We start from the raw sequence: 14,223 nt of genomic DNA on the forward strand, positions 1-14,223 counted from the left end.
TTGTGTCTTCACATGGCAGAAGACAGAAGGGCAAGCAGAACAAAATCCCTCCATTAAGCTTCTTATAAGGGGGCCTAATCCCATTCAGGAAAGGAGGAACCCTCATGACCTAATCACCTCTTAAAGACCCCACCTCTTAATATCTTTACATTGGCCAGTAAGTATTAACACCTGAATTTTGGAGAGGACACATTCAAACCGTAGCACAATATACAAGAACTAAGTATTACTTGAAGACTACATAAGATTTGTCTTTTAAAACCATCTTTACTTTGTTCCTTCTTAGTAATGGCTGTCTGAATATCTCTGGTCGTTGGAAGTTTACTCATGTGTTTACCTCTTCTTGAATCAATTTTGGTAACATTTTTTTCTAGAAAATCACCTATTTCTTCTGGACTTTCCATTTTTCTGCCCACAAACTTATAATTCCTTATTTCATCCATATCTGTGTGCAATCTCTTATCTTATTCTTGATGCTTATGGTTTCTATTTTTCTTGGTGAAACTTCTTAAAGATTTGTCTTCTGAAAGACCAGTTCTTGGTTTTATTCAATGACTCTATTTTTCTTGTTGTTAACTAATTTCCTAATTAATTCCAATTACCACATTTGTCACATTTCTCTTCTTATTTAAATAGATTTATATTTGTTTTATTCTAGTTTATTGAGTTTTAGAGGATCTGCTTATTTTCCATTTTTTGGGGGGACAGGGTCTCGCTCGGTCACCCTGGCTGGAGTGTGGTGGTACAATCTCGACTCACTGCAACCTCCAACTCCCAGGCTCGAGCAATCCTCCCACCTCAGCCTCCCAAATAGCTGGGACCACAGACAGGCATGACCACACCCAGCTACTTTTTTGTATTTTTTTGTAGAGATGGCGTCTTGCCATTTGCCAGTTGGTCTCAAACTCCTAAGCTCAAGCAATCCACCTGCGGTCCCAGCTACATAGGAGGCTGAGGCAAGAGGATTGCTTGAGTCCAGGAGGTTGAGGCTGTAGTGAGCCATATTCACTCCAGCACTCCAGCCTGGACCACAGAGCAAGACCCAGTCTCAAAAACAAAAAACAAAAACAAAACAAAACACAAGCATTTAGTCTATAAAATCTCTTCCACAGTTTTAGCTTTATAAGGGGGCCAAATCGCATTCAGGAAAGGAGGAGCCCTCATATTTTTTATGTAAAATGTTCTCATTTTCATTTATTTTAGCTTAAAACTTCTCTGATCTTAAAACTATCCAGCAGAATATTTTCAAGTTTGAAATGGTAGCTGTATTAGTTTGCCAGGGCCATCATAACAAAGTACCACAAACTGGGTGGCTTAAACAACAGAAATTTACTGTCTGACAGTCCTGGAGGCTAGAAGTCTCAGATTAAGGTGTTGGCAGGATTGGTTCCTTTGGATGGCTGTGAGGGAAGGATCTGTTTCAGGATTTTCTCTTTGGTTTGTGGATGACTGTTTTCTCCCTGTGTCTTCCCATCATCTTCCTTTTATGTGTGTGTCTAAATTTCCCCTTTTTGTAAGGAGAACAATCATATTAAATTAAGGCCCACCTTAATGACCTCACTTTAACTTCATTACCTTTGTGAGGACCGTATCTCCAAGATGGTCATATTCTGAGATACTTGGGTTAAGGATTTCAACATATGAATTTTGGGAGCCCACAAATCAACCCAAAACCACAGCTTAAAACTGTATTTAGGCTGGGCACAGTGGCTCATGCCTATAATGTCAGCATTTTATGAGACCAAGGCAGGGGGATTGCTTGAGGCCAGGAGTTCGAGACCAGCTTAAGCAAAAAAGCAAGATCTCATCTCTAGAAAAAATTTAAAAAATAAAGAAAATTAGCCAGGTGTGGTGGCCCAAACCTACAGTCCCAGCTTCTTAGGAGGCTGAAGCAGAAGCATCACTTGAGCCCAGGAGGTTGAGGCTGCAGTGAGGTATGATCACTCCACTGCAGAGCAGCCCAGCCTAGGTGACAGAGCAAGACTCTGTCTCAAAAAACAACAATAACAAAAAAACCCTATGAGTAGGGAATCACAAAAACTATATATGCCCTTGTGATTAGGGAATATGACAGGATTTTCTATTTCTGAATCTTTAAACGTTTTATCTGTGGCCAGTTCTCCCCATGGAAATGTGATAAGAAAGTATATTCTCTATTTGTAGTATTCTATTAAACTAAGCATCACTGTTAATTACTTTTATATGTGTTGTCATTTTGATCTGTCAAATGCTGAGAGAACTATTATAAATGTCCAATATAACTGTAGTTTTAAATCAAACTCGTAAATTTCTAAAGATTTTGCCTTTATGTATTCACTGATATATAATAATGCTGTATGCATAAAAGTGCATAATTTTGTTTCCTCTTCACAAGTTGTGCAGTTTTGTTCCACTATAAGACATCCCTGTTCATCACAAATTCTGCCCTAAGTTTTAGTTTCTGTAATATGATGTTGCCATCAAATCTTGTTTACATTTCTATTATTATTATTTTGATAACAGAGTCTTGCTCTGTTGCCCAGGCTGGAGTGCAGTGGTGAGATCTCAGCTCACTGCAACCTTCACTGCCTAGGTTCAAGCGATTCTCCTGTCTCAACCTTCCAAGTAGCAGGGATTACAGGCGTGCACCACCACGCCTAATTTTTTGTATTTTTAGTAGAGACGGGGTTTCGCCATGTTGGCCAGGCTGGTCTTGAACTCCTGGCCTCAAGTGATCCACCTGTCTCTGCTTCCCATGGTGCTGGGATTACGGGTGTGAGCCACTGCACTCAGCCTTTTATTCATTTATTTTAAATATTTTTTATTTCATTAACTTTTGGGGTACAAATGGTTTTTGGTTACATGGATGAATTGTATAGTGGTGAAGTCTGAGATTTTAGAGCACCTGTCACCTGAGTAGTGTATATTGTACCCAAAATAAATATATCGTTGTTTCTTCTTTTATTGTTAGCCTTTAATATAATTTTGTTTCAGGTATTTCTTAAAAAGAGCAAAGAGCTGCATTTTGTTCTTTAACCTTGAGAATACTGTCTCAATAACATTCCATTACGTGCATATACCACATTTTGTTTGTCCATTTATCCACTGATGGACATTTGGGTTGTTTCCACCTTTTGGTTACTATGAGTACTGCTGCTATGAACATATGTGCTTTCAATTCTTTGGGCATATACCCAGAAGTAAAATTGCTGGATCATATGGTAATTACATGTTTAATTTTTTGCAGAACCACCAATATCATTTTCCACAGTGGTTGCACTATTTTACATTCCTACCAACAGTGCAAAAGGGTTCTAATTTCTCCACATCCTCAACACCACTTGTTTTCTATTTGTTGTTTTAATAGTAGCCATTCTCATGAGTGTTCAGTGTAATCTCTTTGTGGTTTTGATTTGCCCTTCCCTAATGGTTAGTGATGTAGAGCATATTTTCATGTGCTTATTAGTCATCTGTGTATCTTCTTTGGGGAAATGTCTGTTCAAATCCTTTGTCCATTTTTAAACTGGGTTATTCACTTCTTGTTGAGTTCATTTTAGTTTTCACTGTGTACTTTATATTGGAAAAAATTTAAGTTTTCTAATACTCACCTTGCCCCTTATATTTTCAAATTCCACTCAAAACTTGCATTCTCAGTTTCTTAAAAGTCCTGCTGCAGCTGCATCCCAGTTTAATATACAGGATTTTCATTACTGTTGAGTTCTAACATTTTTTCTTATATGACTTATTTGACTAAAAAAAATAAATTCTTTAGAAATGTGATTCTAAATTTTAAATGTATAGGTTTTAATTGTATTTTTACTACTAATTACATTGCATTGTAGTCAACAATGTAGTCAAAGAATGCAGTCTATAAGATACAGATTCATTGATGCTGGAGACTTGCTTCATGGCCTATTGTGTGGTCAATTATTAATAATTTTTTGATGTGTCTTGAGAAATACATTTCTTCAATTGCTGGATATGAGGTTCTACATGTGTCCACCTGATCAAATTTATTCAAGTCTATATATTTACCAATATTTTTGTTGTTTGATCATCAACTGAGAGAAGTATACTGAAAGGTCCCACTGTGACAGTAGACATTTATAAATTTCTTCTTGTGGTTCTACAATTTTTTGCTTTATACATTTCTGAGGTTATTAGGTACAATACATACACGTTTACATTGTCATATCTTTTTAAGCCTTTTAATTAGTAATGATCCTCTTTATCCCTAACAGTGCTTTTTAATCTTAAGAACTGTTACATTTAATTAATTAACCCATTTATTAGATATTAGTAAATCCATATTTCTTTTGATTGGAATTTGCATGGTATGTAAGAAAAAGATACTTATATTTTCTGAGTCTTTATGTTTTAGGGGTGTGTGTCTTATAAATAAGATTCAGCAGGAGTTTTCAAAAATCCAACATGATAAAAATCTGTCTTTAATTGGGTACATTTAATCCATTTTTTCCTACTATTTTACTTTGTGCTTTTCCTCTATGTGATTTTTATTTCCCCTCCTTTCTTGTTTTTTAAATTGATTCAGGAGTTGTTTCTGTTTTCTTTTTTCCTTTACTGGTTTGGAAATAATATACTTTATTTTTATTGTTTTCAAAATTTCACCATGCATACTTGAAGTTAAACTGAAAAGTTAATCAAATCTTGATCTATCTTTCATAGAACAGAAGACCTTTAGACATTCCTTGCTCACACATTACTTCTGTTCAGTATTTTAGTTCTTTAATTCCACAATTTATATTTTATTTTTATTTAGATATTTTCAGATTTATCCAAATAATTTAAATTACCCAATCTTATAGACCATTTAAATTCAAATTCTGTGTTTACATTTCTTGTTTATCATTTCTCTCTTTAAAATTGAGACAGGATCTTGCTCTGTTGCCCACACTGATGTGCAGTGGTGCAATCATGACTTACTGCAGTCTCAACCTCCCTGGTTCAAGTGATCCTCCTACCTCAGCCTCCTGAGTAGCTGGGACCACAGGCACAAGCCACCAATGCTTAGCTATGTTGCCCAGGGTGGTCTCAAACTTCCGGGATCAAGTGATCGTCCTGTCTTGGCCTACCAAAGTGCTGAGATTATGGGTATGAGCCACCACACTCAGCCTTTGCCATTTCTTTTCATATCTCAGACTTCCCTTTAGGATCCTTTAGGATCAAAGGATAACCTTTAGATGTTCTTTTAATGTACATCTCTTGGTGTTAAATTTTATCAGTCTTTGTTTACTGAAAATGTCTATGTTTAATCATCATTCCTTTTTTTATTTTGAAATTATCATGCTGTAAAATTAAATTTTATGTGTGTGTAAAGTTCTACAAGTTTTAGCAAGTATACATTCATTCAACCACCATCATCAGTGAGGATACGAAATAATTCTCTCACCCCCAGAAGTTCTCTCATGCTACCCCTTTGTGGTCAAACCCTCTTGCCTTCTCCAACTCCTGATCCTACTATCTGTTGTTCATTCCCACGGTTTTGCCTTTCCAGGATGTTATATGAACATAATCATAGAATATAACCTTTCACACTGACTTCTTTCACTCATACAATGCCTTTGGGTTACCTGTTATTGTGGGTATCAGCAGCATATCCCTTTATATTGCTGAGTAATATTCCCTGTATGGAGGTTACACGGTTTGTTTATCCATTCACCCATTGAAGGATTTTTAAGTCGTTTTCAGTTTTAGTGGATCATGAATTCAGGTACAGGTTTTTGTGTGTACACAAGTTTTCATTTATCCAGGCTAGCATGAAGGTTTACCGAGAGGTAGGATTGCTGGAAACTTAGATAAGTGTATGTTTAACTTTATGAAAAGCTTCCAAATTGTTTTCCAAAGTGGTTGTGCTATTTTGCATCTCCACTAGGAATATGAGCATTCCAGTTGCTCCATATTCTCATCAGCACTTAAACTGTTGTATTTTAAAAGTTGCTGTAGCCATTCTATAAATGATGTGTACTGGTATTTCACTGTGGTTTTAGTTTGAATTTTGTTAATGGTAATGATGTCAAGCATCTTTTCATGTGCTTATTTGCCAACCATGTATTTTCTTTGGTGACATGTCTGTTGAAATCTTTTGCTCATTTTCTAATTGAGTTGGTTGTTTTATTGTTGACTTTTGAGAAATGTTTATACATTCTGGCTACATGGCTTTGGTTGAACATGTAGTTTGCAACATTTCTCTTAGGCTGCAGCTTGTCTTTTCAGCCTCTTAACAGTGTTTTAGCAGAGGAGAAGTTTGTTAATTTTCTTTTTTTTTTTTTTTTGAGATGGAGTCTGGCTCTGTCGCCCAGGCTGGAGTGCAGTGGCACGATCTCGGCTCACTGTAAGCTCTGCCTCCCGGATTCACGCCATTCTCCTGCCTCAGCCTCCCAAGTAGCTGAGACTACAGGCACCTGCCACCACACCCAGCTAATTTTTTGTATTTTTAGTAGAGATGGGGTTTCACCATGTTAGCCAGGATGGTCTTGATCTCCTGACCTTGTGATCTGCCCGCCTCAGCCTCCCAAAGTGCTGGGATTACAGGCGTGAGCCACCGTGCCTGGCCGTTAATTTTCATAAAGTACAATTTATCAATTATTTTTTATGAATTATGCTTTGGGTGCCATATCACAGAATTTTTTCCAAACCCAAGGCCAGAAGGATTTTCTCATATATTTTCTTCTGTAAGTTTTACATTTAGCTCATTTTGAGTTATTTTTTATATAAGATGTGAGCTATAGATCAACAACCTTTTTTTCTTAATATATGTAGAATTGTTTATCATTTGTCGAAAAGACCATCCCTTCTCCCTGAATTGCCTTTGCACATTTGTCAAAAAACAAAAACATTCACGAGTCTTATTTTAAACTCTCTTCTGTTTCACTGATCTCTATGTCTTTCACTAATACCACATTTTATTAGTATAGCTTTGAAGTAAGTATGAAAATTGAGTAATGTGACTTCTCCAACTTTATTAATCACATTCAAAATTGCTTTGGTTATTTTAGTTATTTTGTTTTTCCATATAAAATTAATGTCAATTTCTCTATAGATGCAATAAAAAGTAATAGTGCTAAATTGGGGGAAATTGACATCTTTACTACACAGAGTCTTCAAATCCATCAATCCATGAACACAGTACACTTCATTTATTTAGGTCTTCTTTAACTTCTTTCATCAACTTTTGTAGTTTTCACATGTTCTGCACATTTAGATTTATAGCAAGTAATTTAGTTTTTGAAACAAATGTAAATAATAATGTTTTAAATGTCAGTTACCAATTGCATTAATTATGCCTTTTAATTTATTTCTGATGTTTTGAAATCTGGGCCCTTGCTGATCCTGGAGAGACTACCCCTCCCAGGGCTAATCAATTCCTAGAGAGAGTAAAAGACTAACCTTTAAGCGTGCCTTTCATATGCAAACCAACCAATCTAAAGCTCACATCCCCAACTACCTGCATTATAGAGCTCTTATGCTCCAAGCCACTATTTCTCTGCTCTAATCACCCCAGGGCCAAGTACCAGACACTTAGAGATAGCCCCTACACCCCAAAACTGCTGAAATTATTCAAACTAGCCAAGCCTAAGCCTGCTTACCCTGCCTCATCCATTCTTTCATGTGGAAACCACAACAAAGGCTCTTGCCCACGTTTTCCTTCTGTTCCTTCTGCCTCCTGATCGACCCTGATGCATCCCCATATGGCCTTGTGTGGTGTGACACGGCCCCTCCTCTTGGGAACTGTAAGTAATAAACTATCTTCTCAATGGTAGTGGTGTCCTGATCTGTTGGCCTCACTATACCTGCTTAATAATAAACTCTATATCTTAAAACACCAATGTTGATTGCTAGTATAGAGAAATATGATGAATTTCTGTATGTTGACCTTGTGTTCTATGACCTTAGGAAACTCATTTACTGTTTATAAGCATTTACTTGTAGACTCCTTGAACTTTTCTACATGGACAATCATGTCATTTGTGAATATGAATAGTTTTATTTCTTTTTATTTTTCTTACTTTATTGTACTGGCTAAGATTTCTAGTGAGAGACTAAGCAGTGAGAGTAGATATCCTGTGTTGTCTGATCTCAGGGGGAAAGCATTTAGTCTTTCACTACAAAGTATAACGTTAGCTATAGGTTGTTTTTGTTTTAGTACATGCCTTTATCAGTTTTAGGAAGTTCCCTTCTATTCCTAGTTTGCTGAGAGCTTTTATCATGAATGGATGTTGAATTCTGACATACAGATATATGTCATCTATATGTCATACATACATTATATTCTGTATACATATATATACATATGGATATTAGCATCAAGTCTTCTTTAGACTATTAATATTACAAAGACTGATTTCAGTTGAACAAGATTTGCATTCTAAGATAAATCCCACATGGCTGTATTGTTCTTTTTATGTATTGCTGATTCAATTTCTTAATATGTTGATCAGAATTTTTATGTGTACAGTATAAAGAATACTAATCTGTACTAGTCTTATAGTTTATCTGGTTTTAGTATCAGTGTAACACTGGTCTCAAAAAATGAGTTGGGAAATACTGCATACTCTTCCAGTTTTCTAGAAGAAATTGTGTAGAACTGCTATTTCTTTAAATAAGAAGAAATGTGGTAGAATTCATCACAAAAAAACATCTAGGCTTCTGTTTTTCTTTTTCAGAAAGTTTTTAACTACAAATTCATTCTTTAATTTCTTTTTAAATAATTTTTAGTAGTTTGTGGCTCTCAAAAAAAAAATGGTCCATTTCATTTACACTGCAAAATTTATGTCAATTGAGTTCCTTACAGTGCTCCATTCCTGACACTGGTAATTTGTGTCTTATTTTTTGGTTAGGCTGGCTTTTCAAAAGTAGCAGCCTTGGGTTTTATTGATTTTCTTTAATGTTTTTCTGTTTCCAATTTCATTAATTTGTTCTTTATTATTTCCTTTATTCTATTTGCTTTGGTTTTATTTTACTTTTCTTTTTCTAGTTTCTCACAATAGAACTTAAATTACTGATATGAGACTCCTTTTCTAATACAAGCATTTAATTTTATAAATTTCCTTCCAAGCACTGCTTTAGGAGCATCCTACAAATATGTTGTATTTATATTTTTGTTCAGTTCAAAATATTTTCTAATATCCCTTGACATTTCCTCTTTGACCCATAGATTACTTAGGAATGTGTTATTCAATTTCCAAATATTTGAGGAGTAAATCTCCATATATATGTTACTGGTTTCTAGTTTAAATCTTTATGATTAAAGAATACATTTTGTTTAATTCTAGTTCTTTTCAAATTGTTAAGGGTGGTTTTGATCCAGGATACCATCCATCTTGGTAAATGTGCACTGAAGTAGCATGTGTTTTCTGCTGTTGCTGCATAGAGTGTTCTATACATGTCAATTAGGTTCATTTGATTGACGATGTTGCTCAATTCTTTTATATTGTTGTTGATTTTTCTGTCTACTTGTCATATCCATTACTGAGAGAGAAGTGTTGAAGTCTCCAATAATAATTGTGGATTTGTTCATTTCTCCTTTTCATTCTGCTAGTTTTTATTTCATGTATTTTGAAGCTCTATTATTAGGTACCTACAAATTTAGGACTGTTAGTGTCTTCTTGGTGAATTGACTCTTATCATTATGTAATGTCCTTCTATACCTTTGGTAATTTTCCTTGCTCTTTGTTTTGACTAGTATTTACATGGTATATCTTTTTCTATACTTTTAATCTACCTACATCATTATATTTAAAGTGGATTGCTTGTAAACACATTTTGGTCTCTTTTTTAAATCCAATCTGATAATATCGTGCCTTTTAGTTGGTGTATTTAGGTCATTTACATTTAATGTTAGTATTGATAGGTTTGGATTTAAGTCTACTAGTTTATTTTCTGCTTGTCCACTATGTTTTTAGTTCCTCTCTTTCTCCTTTCCCACCTTCTTCTGCATTACAGTATTTGAATATTTCTTTGATATTCCATTTTATCTATTGCATCTTTGTATAGGGTGTGTGTGTGCGTGCGTGCACACGTGTGTGACTGACCTAGGGATTACAATATACATACTAAAGTTTTCATGTCCATTGAAAATTAATATTTTACCACATCAAGTGAAATGTAGAAAATTTACTATTACTGCCTTTAATATTATAGTTGTCATCTGTATTACATTTACATATATAGAAAATTCCACCAATGTTTTACAGATGGCCTTCGACTTAGTTTGCCTTACGATTTTTTTTGACTTTACATTGGTACAAAAGCCATATGCATTCAGTACACTCCTTGATTTTCCATGGGGCTACATCTAGATAAACCCATCCTAAGTTGAAAATGCACATTCAACTTACAATATTTTCAACTTATGCAGGAGTTACTGGGATGTAATCCCACTGTAAGTCAAGGGGCATTGGTAATTTTTAATCACAACCATCACACATATTTTTAAGAACTTAAAAGTAGAAAAAATACTGTATTTATCCAAATGCTTACAATTTCTGTTTCTCTTCTTTCCTGCAGTTCTATAGTTCTCTCTGGTATCAGTTTCCTTTTACCTGAAGAAGTTCCTTTATCCTTTTTTTGGTAAAGCAGATCAACTGGAGATAATTTTTCTGAGTTTTCCTTTACCTGTGAATATCTCTATTTCATCTTCATTCCTGAAGCATATTTTTGTCACATATAAAATTCTGGTTTCAGTGCTTCAAAAATGTTATTCCACTGGCCTTTTGGCCTACATGTTTTTTTCTGAAGTTGTTGCAATCATTGTTCCCCTGTAATGCATCATTTTTTTTTCTAGCTGATCTCAAACAATTTTATTTCTTTAAATAGCCTTTTATTTTTTTGAGACAGAGAGTCTCTCTCTGTCACCCTGGTTGGAGTACAGTGGTATGATCTCAGCTCACTGCAACCTTCGCCTCCAGGGTTTAGCCAATTCTCATGCCTCGGCCTCCCAAGTAGGTGGGATTACAGGTGACTGCCACCAGGCCCAGCTAATTTTTTTTTAAATTTTTTTGTATTTTAATAGTGACAGGGTTTCACCACGTTGGCCAGGCTGGTCTCAAACTCCTGACTTCAAGTGATCCACCCACTTTAGTCTCCCAAAGTGCTGGGATTACAGGCGTGAGCCAGCACCCAGCCAACATTTTTTCTATGTGTCTGGTTTTTAGTAGTTTATGATAATCTGGGCATAGATTTCTTTATTGTATTTGGGGCTCACTGAGCTTCTTAAACCTCTAAGTTTGTCTTTCACTAAACTTGGGAAGCTTTCAGCCACCTTTTTTTTTTTCCAAATTTTTTTTTTTGTACCACACTCATCTCTGTATGAAACTCCACTGGCACAAATGTTAGATATTTCTTGGTATTATCTCAGGGGATCCCAAGGCTCTGTCCATTTTCTTACAGTCTTCTTCTTTTAGTCTGATTAGATAATTTCCATTCATGTAATTTCTGTCTCCAAATCCACTGACTCTTTTCTTTGTCACAAGCACTCTGCTTTTGAACATATCCAGTGATTTTCTTCAAATTTCTAATTATTGTATTTTCCAGTTATAAAATTTCCATTTGGTTCTTTTTTATAGCTTCTTTTTCTTAACTGAGATTATTATTTCTTAAAGCATGGTTATAACAGCTGTTTTAAAATCACTGCCTAATATAAAACATCTGGGTAATCTCAGGGTTGGTATCTTGTCTCTTCCCTTGAGACTTAATCAGACTTTCCTGGTTCTTTTTGTGTCAAGTAATTTTGTATCATATCATGAACATTTGGGATATAAGATGCTATGAGACTCTGGGTCTTGCTCCAATTCTATGAAGAACAGGATGTATTTGAATCTGTCCTAGATGTGCATCAGCCAGGAGCCAGCCTGATATCTGGGTGGGCTATCTATCCCACAGCTACTTGGTATGCTGTTTAGGGTCAGATCTATGTTGTATGGCTCAAGGGTGGGCCCAGAAGTTCATACATAACATCATGCGGTCCCTTTATGAGCTCCCTCTTATCTGTGAAGGGCCCCACTCTCTGACACTCTACTACCCCACCTCCATCCCCCACTGCCACCCGGTCCTCTGACTAGAAAGTCTTGTACTTCCTGCAACTAGATCTGTCTCTGGGGCCAAACAGCAAGAGAATTAAAAAAAGAAAAAAGCAATAGGAATCATTCTACACTGTTTGGACCATAGTTCCTCTGATCAGAGAGGATTCACTTCCCTTGGATTTTTAAGTGTCTGGTTGGCTGCTGCTGCCACCACAAAACTGCAGGTTCAGAAGAGAGGATCATATGGCAGAGCTGGGAGGGAAGAAAAACAAGACAGAGCATTTCTTCCACTTTCTCTGTCTCATAGAGCCTCTCTTCCTGCTCCTTGGATCAGAAATTTCCCTTGGAATTCTTGTTGTTTGCACCTGTGCACAGTCCTAGGATTCATGCTGTCTTTGAATTCAGACTGGGAGATACAAAAAGTGGGGAAAGGATCCAGGAAACTCATTGCCAGAGCTTTTGTACTTAAAAGTTCTATTTTCCTTCTCCAGTCTATTTGCTATCATTTACCTTTCAGAGTCCTCAGACAGCTTCTCCAGGCACTCTGCCCAAGGTTTTTAGACACATTCAGTAGGAGAGAAAGGACAGTATATTTACTTCATCTTAACCACAACTGGAACCTACTATCATTCTTGGTTCTGTTGGATGCAAATTCTAAGGTGACAGTTACTTGTATTTTGATGATATTGTTCTACTGTTTTCTGGCTTCAGTTGTTCTTAGGAGGTCTGCTATTAACACAAAAGGCTACCTATTGTATGAATTCTACATGCATATGTACATGATATTTACATGATATTTTTACACGATATTCTAGAAGAGGCAAAACTATGGTATCAGAAAGCAAATCAGTGTTTACCTAGGGCTGAGGAAGGAACTGACTACAAAAAAGCATGCGGGGAGTTTCTGGAGTGATAGAAACTCCCCTCTGCCTTAAACGTGATGACGGTTACACGACTATATATAGTTGTCCAAATTCATCAATCTCTACACTTCAAACAGGTAAATTTTACTGTATATAAATTATACCTCAATAATGCTGGGGGCGGTGGGGGGAGTAAAAAGAAAGTATGGTATCAGTCTGTATTGTTCTTTTATAGGTAATGTGTCTTTTTTTCCCAGCTGCTTTACACGTTTGTATTTGGTACTGCGTAGTTTTACTATCATGTATTTAGTAAGATTTCTTTTTTAAAAAAATTTAAACTCCTATTTGATATACATTGTCCTTCCTGTTTCTGTGGGTTTATGTCAATTCTGAAAAATTCTCAGATATCATCATGTTGACCACTCTCTTCCCATTCTATCTAGAACTCCAATTAGATGCATGCATAACTTTTTCTTTCTAGCTTTCTATTCATGTCTCAACTTTTCTTTCATATTTTCCATTTCCAACTCTTTCTGTAGTACCTTTGGGTTATTTCTTTAGATATCTCATTTACTAATTCTCTCTCTTCTGCTCCCATATACCATTTATCTATTAATTTTTAAATTTCAATGATTTTTCTAAATTCGGTCATTTCTGACATTTTCTGGATCCTTATTCATTTTCAATCTATCTTTTATTTTTATTTTTTTTTGAGACGGAGTTTTGCTCTCGTTGCCCAAGCTGGAGTGCAATGGTGTGATCTTGGTCTACTGCAACCTCTGCCTCCCAGGTTCAAGTGATTCTCCTGCCTCAGACTCCCGAGTAGCTGGGATTACAGGCATGTGCCACCATGCCCGGCTAATTTTCTTGTATTTTTAGTAGAGACAGGATTTCTCCATGTTGGTCAGGCTGGTCTCAAACTCCTGACCTCAGGTGATCCACTTGCCTCAGCCACCCAAAGTGCTGGGACTACAGGCATGAGCCACTGCTCCAGGCTATCTTTTATTTCTTTAAATGTTTTATGTATAGTCATTTCATACTCTGTTTTGGAAACATCAGTATCTACAGTTCGTAGAGATTGAATATTTTTGTTTCTGTTGGCTTGTCTGGTGACCTGTCTCCCTTTGTGTCTGGTAATTTTTTTTTAACTGTGAGCTTACATTTATTGTACTTGATATTTATGAGTTCTAAGATTCCTGGATTAAGGATGATTTTCTCCAGAAAGAATTTTTATTCTTCTATGGATGACAAGTTCTAGCCCTACCAAATTAAGGTCTTAAATTTAATTATTGGTTGAGTATCTTCCCAATTGGATGAGTAATTTAAATTTGAACTCTATG

At 35.9% G+C, this 14,223-nt stretch overlaps 1 protein-coding gene across 4 annotated transcripts in view, besides 2 other annotated features; it reads right to left on the reverse strand.

The window, feature by feature from the left end:
• Window positions 1–14,223, reverse strand: part of HIBADH (3-hydroxyisobutyrate dehydrogenase) — a 137,442-nt gene that overhangs the window by 32,203 nt on the left and 91,016 nt on the right. The window lies entirely within an intron of this gene.
• Window positions 7,141–7,893: an enhancer, noted in NCBI's record as "OCT4-NANOG hESC enhancer chr7:27604404-27605156 (GRCh37/hg19 assembly coordinates)". NCBI's record gives its function as "activates a minimal SCP1, AML or CMV promoter by ChIP-STARR-seq in primed H9 embryonic stem cells {active_cell/tissue: H9 hESC(primed)}" and the evidence as "EXISTENCE:reporter gene assay evidence [ECO:0000049][PMID:30033119]".
• Window positions 10,863–11,050: a silencer, noted in NCBI's record as "fragment chr7:27608126-27608313 (GRCh37/hg19 assembly coordinates)". NCBI's record gives its function as "represses an EF-1alpha promoter that drives an FKBP-Casp9 reporter gene in an ReSE screen in K562 erythroleukemia cells {active_cell/tissue: K562}" and the evidence as "EXISTENCE:reporter gene assay evidence [ECO:0000049][PMID:32094911]".

The sequence above is a fragment of the Homo sapiens genome, chromosome 7 (genome assembly GCF_000001405.40).
Source record: "Homo sapiens chromosome 7, GRCh38.p14 Primary Assembly".
NCBI classification, from domain to species: domain Eukaryota; kingdom Metazoa; phylum Chordata; class Mammalia; order Primates; family Hominidae; genus Homo; species Homo sapiens.